At 43.1% G+C, this 21,568-nt stretch overlaps 1 protein-coding gene across 12 annotated transcripts in view; it reads left to right on the top strand.

The window, feature by feature from the left end:
* The window catches only part of EIF4ENIF1 (eukaryotic translation initiation factor 4E nuclear import factor 1), a 56,606-nt gene that overhangs the window by 14,583 nt on the left and 20,455 nt on the right, over window positions 1-21,568 (top strand). For 11 of the 12 annotated variants that reach the window (XR_007067979.1, XR_007067978.1, XR_007067977.1 and 8 more), the window contains exons 3-7: window positions 7,069-7,142; window positions 10,684-10,811; window positions 15,019-15,305; window positions 15,853-16,054; window positions 20,336-20,511. Coding sequence is in view for 8 of the 12 variants with exons in the window: in XM_011530280.3 (XP_011528582.2) it covers window positions 7,069-7,142; window positions 10,684-10,811; window positions 15,019-15,305; window positions 15,853-16,054; window positions 20,336-20,511 (867 nt within the window). In the remaining 4 variants the exon portion in view is untranslated. The remainder of the gene's footprint in view (window positions 1-7,068; window positions 7,143-10,683; window positions 10,812-15,018; window positions 15,306-15,852; window positions 16,055-20,335; window positions 20,512-21,568) is intronic. The other variant, NM_001164502.2, reaches the window with a different exon arrangement.

Here is a 21,568-nt window from a genome sequence, read left to right as displayed (position 1 = left end):
TTGTAAAGAGAGCAAACTTTTTTTTTTTTTTTTTTTGAAACAGTCTCTCTGTGTCACCCAGGCTGGGGTGCAGTGGTGCGATCTCAGCTCACTGCAAGCTCCGCCTCCCGGGTTCACGCTATTCTCCTGCCTCAGCCTCCCGAGTAGCTGGGACTACAGGCACCTGCCACCACGCCCGGCTAATTTTTTTGTATTTTTGATAGAGACGGGGTTTCACCATGTTAGCCAGGATGGTCTCGATCTCCTGACCTCATGATCCGCCCGCCTCAGCCTCCCAAAGTGCTGGGATTACAGGCTTGAGCCACTGTGCCCGGCCATTTTTTTGTATTTTCAGTAGAGACAGGGTTTCACTGTGTTAGCCAGGATGGTCTCGATCTCGTGACCTCGTGATCCGCCCGCCTTGGCCTCCCAAAGTGCTGGGATTACAGGTGTGAGCCACTGCACTCAGCATTTTTTTTTTTTTTTTTTTTGAGACAGAGTCTTGCTCTGTCACCCATGCTGTAGTGCTGTGGCATGATCTCGGCTCACTACAACCTCTGTCTCCTGGGTTCAGGCAGTTCTTGTGCCTCAGCCTCCTGAATAGTACCTGGGATTTCAGGTGTCCACCACCAGGCCCAGCTAGTTTTTTTATTTTTAGTAGAGACGTGGTTTCACCATGTTGGCCAGGCTGCTCATGAACTCCTGACTCAAGTGATAGCTGGTCTCGGCCTCCCAATGTTTTGAGATTACAGGTGTCAGCCAGCATGCCTGGCCCAAACTGTATTGACTTAGCTCATGGTTTCTCTCTTCCCCACTTAAGTAGGGGATCTTCTTGTGCTGGGATACCACCTTAAGCATCTTAGGATCATGCTGGAAGGTAACACATTTAGTGCTGTAAACAGTGAGGAAGTTTTCTCTCATTTTTCCCTAAATGTCCACGTGGACCTTGGGCCATATTTTGAGAAACATGCTCAGTTGGAAGCAATAATTTTTAACCTCTTGGGCATTCATTGGAAATCTTTTGAAGGTGTGAACATTCACTGCAGAAATTGCACAAATGCATCATTTTCCATATGGTTTCAAATGGGAGGTCTTACACTCCTTGACACCATGGAACTGATTTAAGAAGTCTTACTTTTCAAGAACAGTAAATACTGTTTACCTAGATGTTTACAGTGACTCCCTGCCACTTTTACAACCCAAGAGTTGTCTTGTTTCTAAGCCCATTTCTCAGTGAAGAAAATGGCTCTTTATCCTCTATGGACAGGTGAGCTATGTTTTAGCCATTGTATTTGGTCAAAAGTGCGCCCTGGCACAAATAATGTTGCTGGTGTGGTTAATGTCAGTGTGTAACTAGCTTGCTACTCTGCCTTCTGCTCTTACAGGCCTGTGAAGTTTGTACATCTGTTCACTTAAGCATCACACCTATGTATGCTAAGCATGTAAAGTCAACAACGAAAACTGGAATACGGAAGTGAAAATGAGAATTTTGTTAACTCTTCTTAACTGAGAGTAGTTGGTGTTTATCACTCTGTGATTAGAGCAATAACTCTAAGAGGAAAGATTATATTGAACAAAACATTAACTTTGAATAACCTCTCAATTTCAAATTCTCTTTTTTTGTTTTTTTTGTTTTTTTTTTTTTTTTTGGAGACAGAGGTCTTGTTCTGTTGCCGAGGCTGGAGAATCTCAGCTTACTGCAACTTCCACCTCCTGAATTCAACCAATTTCTCCTGCTTCGGCCTCTCAAGTGAGGCTGAGATTACAGGCATGCGCCATCATACCCAGCTAATTTTTTAATTTTTAGTAGAGACAGGGTTTTGCTATGTTGGCCATGCTGGTCTTGAACTCCTGACCTCAAGTAATACGTCCGGCCTCTTTTTTTTTTGAGACAGGTTTTCTGTCACTCGGGCTAGAGCGCGGTGGTACAATTACAGCTCATTGCGGCCTGGATCTCCTGGGCTCAACCAAGTCGCCTGGACAATAGGCATGCCACCATGCCCTGCCTTTTTTTTTTTTTTTTTTTGAGACAGGGTCTCCCTCAAAAAGGGTGCAGTCTTGGCTCACTGCAACCTCTGCCTCCCAGGTTCGCAATTCTCATACCTCAGCCTCCCAAGTAGCTGGGGCTACAGGTGTGCACCCCCACACCTGGCTAATTTTTTTGTTTGTTTGACACAGAATCTTACTCTGTTGTCCAGGCTGGAGTGCAGTGGTGTGATCTTAGCTCACTGCAACCTCTGCCTCCCAGGCTCAGGCAATTCTCCTGCCTGAGTCTCCCAAGTAGCTGGGATTACAGGCGTGCCAGGCTGGTCTTGAACTCCTGATCTTAAGTGATCCACCCGCCTTGGCCTCCCAAAGTGCTGTGATTACATGTGTGAGCCACCGTGCCCAGCCCATATTTTCCTATTTTTAAACTAATATCCTTTTTCTGTTCAAGGATTCTATCCAGGATACCATATTATGTTTAGTTGTCCTCTCTCTTTAGCCTCCTATTTTCCTTTTTTTAAGACTGTTACTTCTGTTAAAGTATTTTTTGATTCCTCGTCAATAGGACCAAAATTAGGCTTTTCTGGATGTTTTGTGGTTGTGTTAAAGTATTAACCTTTCCCAGGTGACTCCTAAATAAATAGGTAAAATCATTATAGAGTTCAGCAAACAGCTGTAGTGGTAATTGAGAACACCTATTGGGATCCCTGTTACCTTTGGAGTTAAAAGTTTCAAACAAAACACCACTTAGAAACTTCCCTACATTAAGAATTTACACATTTAAGCGTGAAAGATTGTCTTTGATTGAATAGCACATTAGGGTTCTTAGTATCTGCATGGGGTAGTAAGGGGATATGTGATAATCTTTAGTTACTTTTAAGAGTAAAAAATTGCTTTGCAGTGGTTTTTCCTGTAGCATTATGTATAAGTATTTCCTATATTGCAAGGTCCTTCCTGTTTCTACTAGAAAAATTTTAAGCCCTCTTGTCCTTAGGATTTCTGTGTTACAGTAATATCTGATATTTTCATAATTACTATTGCTCCATCCTCCCTGAACCCCTCCCCCCAGCCCCAAAGTTGTGCTAACCCTACAGATCTGACACCATGTTTGCCCTGAAGATTTCTCTGGAGTCTCCCGTGGTGTGTTTTGTTTTTTTCTTTTTTTGAGACAGGGTCTCTGTCACCCAGGATGGAGAGCAGTGGTGCGATCGCTGCAGCCTTGACCTCAAGTGACCCTCCCACCGCAGCCTCCTGAGTAGCGGGGACCACACTTGGTGAATTTTTTTTTTTTTTTTTTTTAAACGGAGTCTCGCTCTGTCACCCAGGCTGGAGTGCAGTGGCGCGAACTCAGATCACTGCAACCTCAGCCTCCCTACAGGTAGCTGGGATTACAGGCGTCCGCTACCACACCTGGCTAAGTTTTATATTTTTAGTAGAGACAGGGTTTCACCATGTTGGCCAGGCTGGTCTCAAACTCCTGGCCTCAAGTGATCTGCCTGCCTCAGCCTCCTATAGTGCTGGGATTACAGGCGTGAGCCACTGTGCCCGGCCCACTCGATGAATTTTAAAATATTTTTTGTAGAGACAGGTGTCTCCTTATATTGCCCAGGCTGATCTTGAACTCCTGGACTCAAGCAGTCTTCCCGCTTCAGCCTCCCAAAGTTCTGGGAGTACAGATGTGAGCCACTGGACCTGGCTGACTCCTATCTTTACTGGTGATTTATAGGTTGTATGTTCTTTGACAGTTTTTTTTCAGAATTTTGAACAGCCTTTAGGTATGTCTTTGTATTTGGAACTGTGTTTATCTCAGTCTTACAAATTTTTATTCGTATTTCTATCCAGTTATAAGACAGGTAATTGATAAATAAATCCTAAATAAATGCAAATGCCTGATTGATATCCTGGTCTTAAAACTGAAGTATCATATAGTCCTAAGGCGGCATCTTGTCCTGAAGAAAACATTTAGATGCTTCAGTTTTCTGTAAACACTAGAGAATTCATGGTATGCTATACCCAGTGATTCTTGTGGGCTGATTGAGCAAATCTGTCCCTCCATCCTCACCCCAAGATGTTGAATCAGTGATCTGAGAAGCAGTGCACATTCTCCTACTACAAGGCCTGGGATGGGAGTGTTGCCAAAGTCATGGCATAGTGGTATGTGCTTTTTTGCAAGGCAGTTGCAGCATTTTACTGGTGCTGAAAGTTTCGGAATTGCTTTTTAACTTTATTATAAAAAATATTTCAAAGTATACCAAAAGGAGGCAGTAGTTTGTTGTATATATGGGTAGATATGTGTGTTAGTGTGCATGTGTGTATATATATGTGTGTATATGTAAGTGTGTATATTTCCTAACTCTACTGAAAGGGCCTTCAAGCAAATGAGGATACCCAGTTCCCAGACCTTGGTGTTTTATGCAATTCCTCACTTAAAGAAACTAGGATTTCTCAGAAATAGCTGATTCCAGGGCTGGGACAGGATGAATACAAAATAAGCTAGAACGTATGACAGTCTTTAGGAAAAAAAAAAAAAAAAGATGGCATGTTGAAAAAGACACATGGGCCAGTTTGAAGAGGCACCCACTGGCAAAATCTGGGACAGTTTGAGCGCCACATAATTGAGGACATTAATGAGTTATAGACCAACAGAAAAACCAGGAGTCAGCCGGGCACGGTGGCTCACGCCTGTAATCCCAGCACTTTGGGAGGCTGAGACAGGCAGATCACTTGAGGTCAGGAGTTGCAGAGCAGTCTGGTCAACGTGGTGAAACTCCGTCTCTACTAAAAATACAAAAAAAATTAGCCAGCCATGGTGGTGCATGCCTGTAGTCCCAGCTATTCGGGAGGCTGAGGTGGAAGAAGTGCTTCAACCCAGAAGGCAGGGGTTGCAGTGAGCCAAGATTGCGCCAGTGCACTCCAGCCTGGGCGATAGAGCAAGACTGTCTCAAAAAAAAAAAAAGAGGAAAAACTAGGAGTCTGTGAGTCCATACCAATAATACATAGGTATATAAACAGGGGAAAGGAGGACTTGCCTTTACAGTATGATGCCAAGTGCTGGCTGGTAAATATGGAGAGTGGAGAGAGGGCTAGAGTGGCAAAATGAAGAGTGGTTTGGTCAAGAATCATTAATGGATGCTAACTTTAGTGGAAAACTGAAGACCAAGATATTTGGGTGATTTTAAAGTGTCTCCCCACAGATTGCATGCTAAATGCAAATGGGAAAGCAGTAACTAAATAGTAGAGAAACTAGAGAATACCTTGACCAAATGATCCAAATTAGCACCATAGATAAAGGACAGATGAACATCATGGCCTCCAGAAGTGACGGTCTGTGAAGGACACAGCACCTCTTCAGTTAGTATTCTGCCCCATGGATATTTAGGCTCAGTCTATCATGAGAAAACATCAGACCAACCCAAAATGAATAATGTTCTTTTACAGAAAGGGACTATATTTTCTAGAAATGTCACTATCATAAGAGACAAAAGTTGTAGAAATGTTCTAGATTAAGGGAGACCAAAGAGATACAACAATCAAATATCTGATTCTAGACTGGATCCTGTTTTGGAGGGGGAAGATCAATATAAAGGACATTACTGGGTCAATTTACAAAACTGGAATTGGGAAGGTAGATTAGAAAAAAGTATTATCAATAGTTGTAGTTATAAAAAAAACTGGCAGTTCTTCTCAACTTGGGTCTGCAGAAGTCTTCATGCCCTGAGGCATCCGTTATATGTGAGGGATTAGCCTCTCTCCTGTGCATACCAGCTAAGTACATCCTTGAGAGAATGGGAAAATAGTTCACTCAGGTCATTTTCTGTAGGGCTAAATTCTCTCATGGAGCTGGATAACAGGCTGTAAAGGAATATCTTCATTCTTAGGAAATAGGCACTGCAGTATTTAGGAGTAAGGCATCATGACTTATGCAATTTACTCTCTAGTCAAAAAAAAAAAAAAAAAGCTCGCTCATATGTGGAAGCCAAAAAAACTTGGCTTCGTGGAGATAGAGAATAGAATGATAGATACCAGAGTCTGGGAAAGGTGTGTGGGTGGGATGGCAGAATACAAAGAGGTTGGTTATATGGATACAAACATGCAGTTGAAGGAGTAAATTCTAATGTTTGATAGCAGAGCAGAGTGGCTGTGGTTAACAAGTGTATTGTATATTTCAAAACAGCTAGAAGGGAGGACTTTAAATGTCTCCAAAACATAGGAAGGATAAATACTTGAGGTAATTGACACCCGAGATATCCTGACTTGATCATTACACAGTTTATACATGTAACAAAATATCACATATACCCCATAAGTGTATACAAATGTCTGTATCAATTTTTTTAAAATTCTGCAAAAAAGTAAATGATAAATAGGGAGAAATGTTAATAGGTACATAGTATATGGATGTTTTTTGTGTTTTTTCAGTCTTGCAACATTACATTTAAAAAAAACTATCGCCCCCCGGCCCGGTTGCTCACACCTGTAATCCCAGCACTTTGGGAGGCCGAGGCGGGCAGATCGCCTGAGGTCAGGGGTTTGAGACCAGCCCGGCCAACATGGCAAAACCCCGTCTCTACTAAAAATACAAAAATTAGCCAGGCATGGTGGCGTGTGCCTGTAATTCCAGCCACTTGGGAGACTGAAGCAAGAGAATTGCTTGAACCCAGGAGGTGGAGGTTGTAGTGGGCCAAGATTGTGCCACTGCACTTCATCCTGGGCTACAGAGTGAGATTCCATGTAAAAAAAAAAAAAAAAATCCCCTTGTAAGTTGTCATCTAATGCATTGAAAATTGGTAAGATTAGGCAGAGGTTTTATCTAACACTAAAGTTTCCTTGCCTTGATGAGCTTTCAGTGTTACGAAATGTTATTCAATAGCAATTATGAGAGATTGTTTTAGCCAGAAACTGATCACTTTTAAGTTACTGGATTATTCTGCTTGAGCTTGTGAGAACCTCAATGTACTCCAGTCCTTTCTGAAATAAGGCAAGATGTAAATAAGAATTGTGTGAAGTGTTTAAGATGGACACTTAGAATTATTCAGAACAGAAGTTTAAAGTGTGTGGCCTAAGAAATGTAATTCAAAATGACTATTTGACTTCTCTTTTTAGGAAGAACTCTTGGATATAAAAGAACTCCCCCATTCCAAACAGAGGCCTTCATGCCTTTCTGAAAAATATGACAGGTATGTGTGTCATTCTAGTCCTTAACTACTTCTAGTCAATAACTTTTTGTTATACCAAACTTGGTAAATTAAGAATTGTATTGTTTTGAAGTTTTCTGGTAGAATTATAAGTGAAAGAGGGATTTCGAGAGGTAATAAGATGGGTTTCAACTACCTAGGAATGAAACTAAAATTAAAAGATGACCTGGTCAGAGTCACATAGTCAGAAAGCAGAATTAAGACTTGAACCCGACAGGGCATGGTGGCTTATGCCTGTAATCCCAGCACTTTGGGAGGCCAAGGCAGGCGGATCACGAGGTCAGGAGATCGAGACCATCCTGGCTGACATGGTGAAACCCCATCTCTACTAAAAATACAAAAAATTAGCCAGGCGTGGTGGCGTGCGCCTGTAGTCCCAGCTACTCGGGAGGCTGAGGCAGGAGAATGGCATGAACTCGGGAGGCGGAGCCTGCAGTGAGCTGAGATCGCACTACTGCACTCCAGCCTGGGCGACAGTGCGAGATTCCGTCTCAAAAAAAAAAAAAAAGACTTGAACCCAGGAGTCCTCACCAGGGTCTTGTCCTCTACCAGTGGTTTTTTGCACTGTACTTTGAGGGTACCTGCCTCAGGTATGCTGCTCAGGGGCGCTCTTGGTTCTTTTTTTTTGCATTCCCACAAAAAACTATTCAGCCGTTCAGATTAGCTTTATTTCATCCTAGTTTCCCTCAGAAGAAGAAGGCTTTGGTTTGGGAAGACTATAGCTAAAAATGGTCTGAAAATCTCCTACAATAATCCTATATTGTACTACTTATGGCCACCTTAGTCATTTCTTTTCTTTTTTTTTTTTTGTCCGAGACAGAGTTTCACTCTTTTTGCCCAGGCTGGAGTGCATTGGCGCGATCTGGGCTCACTGCAACCTCCACCTCCCAGGTTCAAGCGATTCTCCTGCCTCAGCCTCCCGAGTAGCTGGGATTACAGGCACCCACTACCACGCACAGCTAATGTTTTTGTATTTATGGTACCTATGGTACTATAGTGCCTATAGTCCCAAGTACTCAGGAGGCCAAAGCGAGAGGTTTGCTTGAGCCCAGGAGCTTGAGGATGCAGTGAATTATGATTGTGTCACTGCACTCCAGCCTGAGCAACAGAGATCCTATCTCAAAAAAAAAAAAAAAAAAAGTCCTATTTAACCAGGAAATTGAACATTAATATGATGCTTTATATGTTAAAAAAAATGTAGGCTAATACTAATATAAACCATCTACCTTGATATTTAAGAGATGATGGGCCAGGTGCAGTGGCTCACACCTGTAATCCCAGCACTTTGGGAGGCCAGGGCGGGCAGATCACAAGGTCAGGGGTTTGAGACCAGCCTGGCCAACATGGCGAAACCCTGTGTCTACTAAAAATACAAAAATTAGCTGGGTGTGGTGGCACATGCCTATAGTCCCAGCTACTCGGGAGGCTGAGGCAGGAGAATCGCTTGAACCCGGGAGGTGGAGGTTGCGTTGATCCTAGACTGCGCCATTGCACTGCAGCCTGGGCAACAGAGCAAGACTCCATCTCAAAAAAAACAAAACAACAACAACAAAAAAACCTGGATGCCTCATACCACATTCCCTGATGAAGGTGATACTTGATACTTGAATAATGGCTATAGCCAATTAGTTAGGATTTTTCTTTTTTTTTTTTTTTTTTTTGAGGTGGAGTTTCGCTCTTGTTGCCTAGGCTGGAGTGCAATGGCGCAATCTTGGCTCACCACAACCTTCCCCTCCCGGGTTCAAGCGATTCTCCTGCCTCAGCCTCCCGAGTAGTTGGGATTACAGGCACCCACCACCACACCTGGCTAATTTTTATAGTTTTAGTAGAGACGGGGTTTCACCATGTTGGCCAGGCTGGTCTCGAACTCCTGACCTCAGGTGATCCACCCACCTCAGCCTCCCAAAGTGCTGGGATTAGCAGGCATGAGCCACTGCGTCTGGCCTACAAAATATATTTTTAAAAATTATCTGGGCATGGTGGCACCTGCCTGTAGTCATAACTACTCAGGAGGCTGAGATGGGAGGATCACCTGAGTCCAGAAGTTTCAGGCTGCAGTGAGGTATAATCATGCCACTGCATTCCAGCCTGGGTGACAGAACTCTGAGACCCTGTCTGAAAAAAATAAAAAAGTTATCCTGGGCAGACAAACAGCTTTTATTTCTGAAGCAGAGACATTGTGCCTGGTGGTAAAAATAAGAAAGAGGAGAGAGCTTCTCATTTCCTTTCACCTCTCTGAGAACTAAAATTTGTTGGGCTCTTAAATGCTAGATAATCCTCACCACTACCCTAGAAGGTAGGTAGTATATATTTTATTGTGAGGAGTTTGAGACTGAAAAGCTAACTCACTTATTCAAGAAATGTTCATTGGTACCTGCTATGTCATAAATACTGTGCCAGATTCTATAAAATATTCCGTGGCTTCATGGGGCATTGGTCTATGGAAGGATATAATCAAATACTTGTAAAAATTTATCATTGCAAACATCACAGGCTGCAAAGGACAAGTGTGAAGTACGTTGCTAGTGTATAGCATGGCCTGGTCTAATCTGGGGGCTGGGAAGTTCTTTCTGCAGAAGATGCAGCTCAGTAACTTGTCCAGGATGTTCCCAGTAGTGGTGGCAAAACTAGAATTAAAGCCCAGATTTTGGGCTCCAGAGTTTCTGCTCGTGCACAGTACTACCCACCACCCCATCATTACACAGAGAATAAAATAAAACCTAAACTACACATTTTAGGTCGTAAGAGCTGTTTGCCCTGCTTGTGGAAAAACTAAGACTGTGCATAGAAATTCTGGAAAAATACACATCAAATGATCCAGGTGCTACTTCTGGTGAGAGAGTTAAGGGACTCTTTTTTCTCCTTTGTATTAGTCTTCAGTAAACAACAGTTAATATTTATGGAACATCTTCTTTGTATAGTACAGGCGTAGTTATTGTAATCCATGTGCATGCCAAGGTATATGGTCTGAATGTTTCAATTGTGTACAGACCATTAGTTTTCAAGTGACTGTTGGTGTTGTGTGATCAACAACAAAGCATTACTGAATTAATAGATGTTTTTGTTTTCATATTAAAAGAGGTAACAATTCTGCAGGCAGTCATGAAGCTTTATTTTAGAAATGGGTTTCTGGCTGGGCGTAGTGGCTCACATCTGTAATCCCAGCACTTTGGGAAGCCAAGGCAGGCAGATTACTTGAGGTTAGGAGTTAGAGACCTGGCCTGGCCAACTGGTGAAACCCCATCTCTACTAAAAATACAAAAATTAGCAAGATGTGGTGGTGGGCACTTGTAATCCCAGCTACTGGTGAGGCTGAGGCAGAAGAATCACTTGAACCTGGGAGGCAGAGGGTGCAGTGAGCTGAGATCACGCCACTGCGCTCCATCCTGGGCGACAGAGCGAGACCCTGTCTCAAAAAAGGAGAAATGGGTTTCCATAACTATTAGCTGAGGAGGTTTAGAAATCACACTGCCTATATGGTTCATGGGCGTAAGTGCTAACAGTTGTATTTTTTGACCTGTAGTGATGGTGTCTGGGACCCTGAGAAGTGGCATGCCTCTCTCTACCCAGCTTCAGGGCGGAGCTCACCAGTGGAAAGTCTGAAGAAAGAGTTGGATACAGACCGGCCTTCCCTGGTGCGCAGGATAGTAGGTGAGCACACAGTCACTCAGAAGTGGGGTTAGTGATTTTGGGGACATGCTTTTGCCTGCTGGTTTCATTCTTAGCTCTGAGAATTTTATGCTTTGAGGGGAAATGTCATTATCAGGAAACTGATTTATCGGTTGGATTTTTCCTAATCAGCAGGGTAAAGTCATAGTCTACTTTGTCACAGCTATATAAGAAGACTGTTAGGCTGTGTGCTTCTGAATTAAAAGTACCGATTATCTTTCACTGGCATGGATAACTGAGTTAGATGTGGTGGGTAGCATAAAGCTGTGCTGGAAATCTCATTATGCTTTCTTTCATATGTGAGACCAGTCCTCCGGTATAAATTAGTTCTGGCAATTCTTTTTTTTTTGTTCTGTTTTTTTTTGAGACGGAGTCTTGCTCTGTTGCCTAGTCTGCAACCTCTGCCTCCTGGGTTCAAGCAATTCTCTGCCTTAGCCACCCAAGTAGCTGGGATTACAGGTGCCTGCCACCATGCCTGGCTAGTTTTTGTATTTTTAGTAGAGATGGGGTTTCACCATCTTGGCCAGGCTGGTCTTGAACTGCTAACCTCGTGATCCACCCACCTCGGCCTCCCAAAATGCTGGGATTACAGGCATGAGCCACTGCGCCCGGCCTAGTTCTGGCAATTCTTAATTCATAGTGGACTGTGATCGGAATAAAGGCTTGGATACGGTTTGAGACTGAAGTTAAGTCTGATCTTCCAACTTTCCTAGTTTAAAGTTTACCCCTTTAGAAACGTTGTTTAAGGGTGAAATGGAGACCAGGTAATATAAAAGCAGTCAAGGAACTTGTTGCAAGAACTTTTTTTGAGATGAGAGGACGACTCATCATAAAAACTTGGAACTAAACGAAAAAGATAGCCCGGCTCTAGTTTAAGCTATAAGACCCTTCTACACAGTCTGTCAGTACACTCAGTACAGTAATGTCTCTCAAAGAATTTATTCTAGCAGAATCATTAAAGATATGCAGAGACTTTATTAAAATGATGAAAACTGAGAAGGAACCTAAATATCCAACAGTAGAAATGGGTCGCGTAAACTTCGGTGTATCCATATATGGGAATGTTACATTGCATTGTCCTGTAAAACCATGTTGCAGATGTGTTTATTGGCAAATAATGTTCATGACGTACTGACTCATAGAAAACTCTCCATATTGTATCCTGTGTTTGGAAAAAACAGACTGCACAGAAATTCTGTAAAAGTACACAACAGAACATTCTAGGAGCTGTTTGTGATAACAGAATTAAAGCAGATTTTTCTCACATGGACTAATCTTCAGTTTCCTGGTTTTTCTAGGAAGACATTTTTTGTATGGTGACATGTTTGTTCTTCCTACACCAATAAATTTATTGAGATAGAATTTACATATAGCCTGCACAAAAAGTATACCATTTGATGTCTTGACATGTGTATATACCTGTGAAACCGTTACCAAAATCAACATAAGCATTTTTATCACCCCCAAAAGTTCCCTAGTATTCCTATGTGTCCCTCCCTTTAGCTGCCCCCCCCACAACACTTCCCCCTTCCCAAGCAAGCGCTGATTTGCTTTGTTTTTTTTTGTTGTTTTTTTGAGACAGAGTCTCCCTCTGTTGCCTAGGCTGGAGTACAGTGGCGTGGTCTCTGCTTACTGCAACCTCTGCCTCCCAGGTTAAAGCGATTGTCTTGCCTCAGCTTCCTGAGTAGCTGGGATTACACATACACGTTCCACCGTGCCCAGCTAATTTTTTTTTCCCCCCACCGAGACAGAGTCTTGCTCTGTCACCCAGGCTGGAGTGCAGTGGCGCGATCTCGGCTCACTGCAACCTCTGCCTCCCGGGTTCAAGCGATTGTCGCGCCTCAGCCTCCCAAGTAGCTGGGATTATAGGCGTGCGCCACCATGCCTGGCTAATTTTTGTATTTTTAGTAGAGACAGGGTTTCACCATGTTGGCCAGGCTGGTCTTAAACTCCTGACCTCAAGTGATCCACCCACCTCAGCCTCCCAAAGTGCTGGGATCACAGGCATGAGTCACCGTGCCTGGCCCCAATTTTTGTATTTTTAGTAGAGACAAGGTTTCCCTATGTTGGCCAGGCTGGTGTTGAACTCCCAACCTCAGGTGATCCACCTGTCTTGGCCTCCCAAAGTGTTGGGATTACAGGCATGAGCCATAGTGTCCGGACTGATCTGCTTTCTGTATCTGCTTTCTGTTTCTATAGATTAGTTTACATTTCCTAGGATTTTATATAAATGGAGTTACTATAGTATATACTCCTTGTATAGCTTTTTTCATTAAGAATAGTTACGATTTATCCACGTTGTTGAGTGTCTAGTTTATTTTCATTGCTTAATAGTATTCCATTGTATGGATTTAGCAGTTGATCCGTTTATCTGTTGATGTACATTTGGGTTGTTTCCAGTTTTTGACTGTTAAATAACCAAAGCTGCAATGAACATTCATGTACAAGTCTCTGGACATAAGCTTTCTTTTCTCTTGGGTAAAAACCTAGGATTAAAATGGCTGGGTTGTATAGCAGATGTATGTTTAACCTTCTGGGAAATTGCCAAACTGTTTTCCAAAGTAGTTGTACCATTTTACGTTTCCACCAGTGGTGTATGAGAGTTGCACTTGCTCCAACATCCTCATCTGCACTTGGAATGGTCATTTAAATTTTAGCCATTGTAATAGGCGTGTAGTAGTATCACATGGTTTAATTTGCATTTCCCTAATGACTAATTATGTTGAGTATCTTTTCATATGCTTATTTGCCTTCCACATAACCTCTTTGGTGAAGTGTCTGTTCAAACCATTTGTCTATTTTTCAATTGTGTTGGTTTTTTTTTTTTTTTTTTGAGACAGAGTCTGGCTCTTGGTGCCCAGGCTACAGTGCAGTGGTGCAGTCTCAGCTCACTGCAACCTCCACTTCCCAGGTTTAAGCGATTCTCCTGCCTCAGCCTCCCAAGTAGCTGGGATTACAGGTGCCTACCACCACGCCTGGCTAATTTTGTATTTTTAGTAGAGACGAGGTTTCACCATGTTGGTCAGGCTAGTCTCGAACTCCTAACCTCAGGTGATCCACCTACCTCAGCCTCCCAAAGTGCTGGGATTACAGGCGTGAGCCACTGGGTTGGTTTATTAAGAGATTTTATGTGTTCTGAATTTAAGTCCTTTATCAGAAAAATGCTTTGAAATATTTTGTCTCAGTCTGTGGCTTGTCTTTGCATTCTCTAAACAGTGTCTTTCAAAGAGTAGAAGTTTTAAATTTTGATCAAGCCCAGTCTATCAGTGTTTTTTAAATGGATCATGCTTTTGGTGTCATGCCTAAGAAAACTTTGCCTAACCCAGTGCCACAAGGATTTCCTCCTATATTTTGTTCTAGAAATTTTTAGTTTTAGGTTTTACATTTAGATCTGTGATCCATTTTGAATTAATTTTTGTATATATCTGTTTATATATATATATATATATATATATATTTTTTTTTTTTTTTTTTTTTTTTTGAGACTGAATCTTAGTCTTTTGCCCAGGCTACAGTGTAGCGGGGTGACTTCTGCTACTGCAACCTCTGCCTCCAGGTTCAAGCGATTCTCCTGCCTCAGCCTCCCAAGTAACTGGGATTACAGGCACCTGCCACAATGCCTGGCTAATTTTTGTAGTTTTAGTAGAGACGGGGTTTCACCATCTTGGCCAGGCTGGTCTTGAACTCCTAACCTCGTGATCCACCTGCCTTGACGTCCCAAAGTACTGGATTATAGGCGTGAGCCACCATGCCCGGCCCCAAATATAGATTTAAGTTCATTTCTTTGTCTGTGGATATCTAACCGTTCAACACCATTTTGTTGAAGAGACACTTTAACTTTTTAAGCAGTTATTTTTTCAAATACGCCTGCTGTAGTTTATTAGTTGACAAAACATTTGCTAATAATTCTTAGATAAGGATTTGGTCAAAATAAAGGCACTGCAAAGACTAATCATGGAAAATTATTTATCGTGACGTACTTCTATTGCTGCAAAGAGGAAGGCCAATGTCTCAGCCTTATTTAAATACATAATGTACATGTTACCCTGAATCTGCTGATAAGCCCAATTTTAGTGGTGACTCTCTTCCAACCATCCCCTTCCTCCCATCAGTCATGGACATACTATCTAAAAAAGAAGAAAACACCCTTGTTGGTTTGTTTAACTTTGTCTTTCCCACGTCCTTCCAGATCCACGAGAGCGTGTGAAAGAAGATGACTTAGATGTTGTTCTCAGCCCTCAGAGACGGAGCTTTGGAGGGGGCTGCCACGTGACAGCCGCTGTTAGCTCCCGGCGCTCAGGAAGTCCATTAGAGAAAGATAGTGATGGGCTTCGTCTGCTTGGTGGACGTAGGATTGGCAGTGGGAGGATAATCTCTGCCCGGACCTTTGAGAAGGATCACCGTCTTAGCGATAAGGACCTGCGGGACTTGAGAGACAGAGACCGAGAGAGGGACTTCAAGGACAAGCGTTTCAGGGTTTGTCTTTTTTTTTTTTTTTTTTTTTTAAATTGAGACGGAGTTTCGCTCTTGTTGCCCAGGCTGGAGTGCAATGGCACGATCTTGACTCACTGCTGCCTCAGCCCAGTATCTGGGATTATAGGCACGCACCACCATACCCGGCTAACTTTTTATATTTTTAGTAGAGACGGGGTTTCTCCATGTTAGTCAGGCTGGTCTCTCAAGCTCCCAACCTTAGGTGATCGGCCTGCCTCGGCCTCCCAAAGTGCTGGGATTACAGGCGTGAGCCACCACACCCGACCTGGGTTTGTCTTCTAGATTCTTTGGTAGTTCATGTGCTTGGGGACTTGATATTCACTTTTTTTATACCAGGTTACTTTGAGAACAGGCATGAACACAGCCTGCTCTTAAACCAGTCAGGGAGGAAGGGGTGGGGGTGGTGATGGGCCTCAGGTATACAGCATCATATCTTCCTTTCACTATTGAACATTACAACGAAGACCTTGACTGAAGTAGAAATGGCTTGACTAGAAATTTTTTAATCTTGCTTTATGTACTTTTCCAGAGAGAGTTTGGAGATAGTAAGCGTGTCTTTGGTGAGCGTAGAAGAAATGATTCTTACACAGAAGAAGAACCAGAGTGGTTCTCTGCTGGACCCACAAGTCAGTCTGAAACCATCGAACTGACTGGCTTTGATGATAAGATACTAGAAGAAGATCACAAAGGGAGAAAAAGAACAAGGCGACGGACAGCCTCTGTGAAGGAAGGTCAGTTCAAACTTTGGGAGGGAAGTTCGCTGTTTTAAAATGAGATGTAGGCTGGGCGTGGTGGCTCACACCTGTAATCCCAACACTTTGGGAGGCCGAGGTGGGCGGATCACCTGAGGTCAGGAGTTTGAGACCAGCCTGGCCAACATGGTGAAACCCCGTCTCCACAAAAATTCAAAAATTAGTGGGGTGTGGTGGCTGGTGCCTGTAGTCCCAGCTACTCGGGAGGCTGAGGCACAAGAATTGCTTGAACCTGGGAGGCAGAGGTTGCAGTGAGCTATCACACCACTGCACTCCAGCCTGGGTGACAGAGCAAGACTGTCTCAAAAATAAAATAGAGATGTGATTATCACTGGCTAATTGTACACTTAGGAATGGGCACCAGATGTATAGGAAATGGCAAGTTTTTCATGATGCATCCTGATTTTGAAATCTTTTTTTTTTTTTGAGACGGAGTCTCGCTCAGTTGCCCGGGCTGGAGTGCAGTGGCACCATCTCAGCTCACTGCAGCCTCCATTTCCTTGGTTCAAGCGATTCTTCCCTGCCTCAGCCTCCCGAGTAGCTGGGATTACAGGTGCCTGCCATGACGCCTGGGTAATTTTTTCTATTTTTAGTAGAGATGGGGTTTCACCATGTTGCCCAGGCTGGTCTCGAACTCCTGACCTCAGGTGATCACCCGCCTCGGCATCCCAAAGTGCTGGGATTATAGGTGTGAGCCACCATGCCCAGCCCCTGCAACTGCTTAAGTGAGGATTCACTAAGTGTAGATCATACTGTTTCCCTAACTCGTTCTGCCTGCCACACTAAACAGAAAAGTCTGAAGTTATCCTGTAAGAGGACTGTGTACATGAAAGAGTTCCCCAGAAATAAGAAACGTGGTAGAAAAATGAGAGGTCTCATTTATTGAGCAATTATGTCCTAAACACAGTGGTGAGTGTATTTTGTCTGTGTAATCCTTCATCTCCTAATGACCTTGTGCAGTGTAGGTACTTTTTTATGCCCATTTCATAGATGAGCAAATGGAGGCTCAGAGGGCTTAAGTAACTCAAGGACACTTAAGGTAGTCACCATGGAAATAAGTAGTGAAGTCAAGAGTAAAGCAAGATGCTTCTGGGCATCAGAGCCTACCTTCTTCATCATGGTATTAGGCCTTCCCAGGTCAGTTGTTTGTGATTTGCCTTCTCTCAAACTTAGTTTCAGGATGAGTACGGTGGCTCACGCCTGTGATCCCAGCACTTTGGGAGGCCAAGGCGGGTGGATCATTTGAGGTCAGGAGTTTGAGACCAGCCTGGCCAACATGGTGAAACCCTGTCTATATTGAAAATACAAAAATTAGCTGGGTGTGTTGACGCATGCCTGTACTCCCGGCTACTGGAGAGGCTGAGGCAGGAGAATTGCTTGAATCCAGGAGACAGGTTGCAGCGAGATTGTGCTACTGCACTCCAGCCTGGGAGACAGAGTTGAGACTCTGTCTCCAAAAAAACCAAAAAAACCTAGTTTCCTCAGCTGTAAGATGGGGTCAGATATCTCCCTTGCTAAACTGAAGGAGCCAGAGCTAATGTGTGTGAAGTACCTGCTGCAGAGTGGGAGCCCATTGGTCTGCAGCCAATCATTTTTTAGGGCAGTGACCTGGCTCTAAGGTGGCCAGTCCCAGGCTGATGGTCTTGGGAAGGAGGCACTGTAGAGCCAGGTGGGGACTAACCTGGGTTAAAGTACTAGGGCTCCTGCTTAGAAAAGGATAATTTTTGACAAAATTTTGACAGCTGGGCCTGTTTCTTTGTAAAGGGAAGAACAATGCCTATCATAACTTAAGGGTTACCTTTAGCATTGAAGAACACATGTACCCATCAGAACTCAGCCTCCAAGAAGGCACTCAGTAAATTCTACCTGCCTCAAGCTTTCAGGCTTAGTTGAAAGCCTTTTGGCAGATACTAGGCAACAAAAGGGGAAAGCCTTTTTTTTTGTTTTTTGTTTGTTTGTTTGTTTTGAGATGGAGTCTTGCTTTGTTGCCTAGGCTGGAGTGCAGTGGCACGATCTTAGCTCACGGCAAACTCCGCCTCCGGGTTCACGCCATTCTCCTGCCTCAGCCTCCCGAGTAGCTGGGACTACAGGCGCCCACCACCACGCCCAGCTAAATTTTTGTATTTTTAGTAGAGATGGGGTTTCACTATGTTAGCCAGGATGGTCTCGATCTCCTGACCTCGTGATCCACCCGCCTCAGCCTCCCAAAGTACTGGGATTACAGGCGTGAGCCACTGCGCCAGTCCTCTATTTTTTTTTTTAATTAATTTTCTTTTTTTTTTGAGACGGAGTCTCGCTCTGTCACCCAGGCTGGAGTGCAGTGGTGCGATCTTGGCTCACTGCAAGCTCCGCCTCCCAGGGTCAAGCAATTCTGCCTCAGCCTCCGGAGTAGCGGAACTACAGGCGCGTGCCAACACACCCAGCTAATTTTTTGTATTTTTAGTAGAGATGGTGTTTCACCGTGTTAGCCAGGATGGTCTCAATCTCCTGACCTCATGATCCACCTGCCTCAGCCTCCCAAAGTGCTGAGATTATAGGCGTGAACCACTGCGCCTGGTCTGGGAAAGCTATTTTAATAAATAAGGGAAAAATCAGTGCCACCTTAACATTTTGATGAAGACAAATATAAGCAGAAATAAGCTGATGGCATTTATTTAGAAGGAGAAGGAAATGGAGAATCAAAATACTCATCTTCTTTTGTAGTCTTCAAAATATAGTACATATTACCATTATCTTTGTGCTATCACACAGTGTTCCCTAGGATAATGTAAGAAATTGATAGGTAACTTGGAAGACTTTGCTATTAAATTGGCTTTGAGATATGTCTTTGTCTCATTCTTAATTAAAGCAGCACCCAATAAAGCACCACTTTAACGATAAAGATCAGGCTTCTGGTGAGAAAAAATTATGTTTTTCTTAAGTGAGGTGAAATCTGAATTTCAACCATTCTTGTATCAAGTGCAGGAGTCAGGAGTGAGATAGATTGGTAGTGGCACCTCCTTATTTTACAGATGCAGAGAGAAATTGAGACCTGGAGAGAAGGGATGGATTTCATGGCAGAGCCTGGAGTAGAATCCAGGGGTCTTGGTTCATCCCATTAGCTAACTACAGAATGTCTCTAGGTTGCCCTTGCTATGTATTTAAAATAAATAAAAACATTAAAAACTAAGATGTCAGATGCCTTAAATGTTAGCATCTGGCAGTTTCACTTTGTCTCCCCATCCTAAAAACAACTGAACATTGTAGAGTATACCTGGCACTACAGAGTAAGACAAAGCTGGTTAGACCAGGTTCCCTACCCTCAGAGTTTAGCCTCACCAGAGAGTTACTATTATACAGTGTGACAAGTACTCAGAGATGACATAAGGATTATAGAGAAGGTAGCAATTAATTTTACTAGGTAGGGCAAAAATGGGTAGGCAGGGCAAGCTTCCCAGAGAAGGTCACATTTGAATTTCGCCTTGAAGGATGAGCTACAACAACCAACCTGTAGGCAAGTGAAAATTGCCCTCATGCCAGGTTTCTCATAAATACCTTAGGTTGCTGAGCCCTGACTGAAAGTGGTGCTACAGGTGCATGGGCAGAAGCAGAGCTAAATTAATTTGGTTCCATTTTTAAGCAGTAAGAGACTTGCAAAGACTATCCTTTAAAAAAAAAATCACTAGAAAAAGAACTAGGCATGGTGCTGGACACAGTGGCTCACTACTGTAATCCTAGCACTTTGGGAGGCCAAGGCAGGAGGATCACTTGAGGTCAGCAGTTTAAGTCCAGGCTGTGCAATTTAGCGAGACTCAGTCTCTACAAAAAATTAAAAAATTATCCAGGCATGGTGGTGTGCACCTGTGGTCCCAGATACTCTGGAGGCTAAGGCAGGAGGATCACCTGAGCCCAGGAGGTAGAGACTACAGTGAGCTGTGATCGTGCCACTACTCTCCAGCCTGTGCAACAGAGCAAGACCCCATCTCAAAAAAAAAAAAAAAAAAAAGACCCCCCTCCACTATAGAAAATATGAAGTTCCCACGAAGGGAACCATAATCCTCCCCACATCCCATTGGTATTCTAGCTTTATTAAGGCTTTTTTCCTTTTCTGCCTCCCGTAGAAGGGGGACTGTTTTATTCTTGCAAGTACAGTACCTGCACGAGAAGTCTGCTTTTTAAGTCATGTGTGGCTCTTCTACATGTATACTGATGGCTGAAGCCACAGAGGGACACTGGAGTGATTTACTTATCAGACGGTTTTTGTCCTGGTTTTGCTTTCAGGTATAGTAGAGTGCAATGGAGGAGTGGCCGAAGAGGATGAAGTGGAGGTCATCCTTGCACAGGAGCCTGCGGCTGATCAGGAAGTGCCAAGGGATGCTGTCTTGCCTGAGCAGTCCCCAGGAGACTTTGACTTTAATGAGTTCTTTAACCTTGATAAGGTGCCATGCTTGGCTTCGGTGAGTGTAGCAGCACACTTAAAAAATGTGTGGTTAAATTTGACCTGAGTATTTAAGACATCGGTTTGAAAGTGTTGTTTTGCTAGATGCTTTTGGGGTTTTTGGCTTTTATTCTTACATATTTAAATTTTTGTTGGCTTTGTTTTGAGAGGCTTAATGGATAATATGAGATTTTTGTACCAGTTAACTCTTTTTTAAGCTGGTGGTGTTAGACTAAAAATTCTTTTTTTGTTGTTTTTTTTTTTTTGAGTTGGAATCTTACTCTGTCACCCAGGCTGAAGTGCAGTGGCACGATCTTGGCTCATTGCAACCTCCGTCTCCTGGGTTCAAGCGATTCTTCTGCCTCAGCCTCCTGAGTAGTTGGGATCACAGGTGTGTGCCACCATGCCCAGCTAATTTTTGTATTTTTAGTAGAGATGGGGTTTCACTATGTTGGCCAGACGGGTCTTGAACTCCTGACCTTGTGATCCTCCTGTCTTGGTCTCCCAAAGTGCTGGGATTACAGGCGTGAGCCACCGCACCTGGCTTTTTAAAGTTATTTTTAGAATTCCTGTTTATCACTAAGATGCTTATATTTTGGATACACTCCCCAATTTTTCACAGTGATGTATCATGCTTATCTTATATTTTAATTAATACAAAATTAGTGCACTTAAAAGTCAGCATTATTTAAGGTATGAGCATCTACAGGTGGAATGTGATTGAAATTGTCTAGATAATTCCTCTGAAAATAGAAATTCTGGAAACAATAATTAGGGTCTTGAATTAAAATCCCTTCAAAAGAAGTATATTGTGGCTTAATTTGGGTATGGATTATGAAAACATTCTTCCAGATAAGAACAAAGAATAAATCTAAGCTTCCCCTGCTTAACTTTGGAAACTGTGGGTTCCAGATTTCAAATAAAACAGTCACTAATTCTGTCATCCATGTACCAGTTTTTGAAAAAGCATGTTTTCTGTTTATCAGTGGGATTGACGTGAAAGTATATGACTTATTTTCAAGGATATGTCTGATTTTTGGATAGATGTTTGCTCTATCTTGTCTTTTCTAAATATT

Source organism: Homo sapiens, chromosome 22, assembly GCF_000001405.40.
Source record: "Homo sapiens chromosome 22, GRCh38.p14 Primary Assembly".
NCBI classification, from domain to species: Eukaryota; Metazoa; Chordata; class Mammalia; order Primates; family Hominidae; genus Homo; species Homo sapiens.
This window is presented reverse-complemented; position numbering and strand designations above follow the sequence as displayed.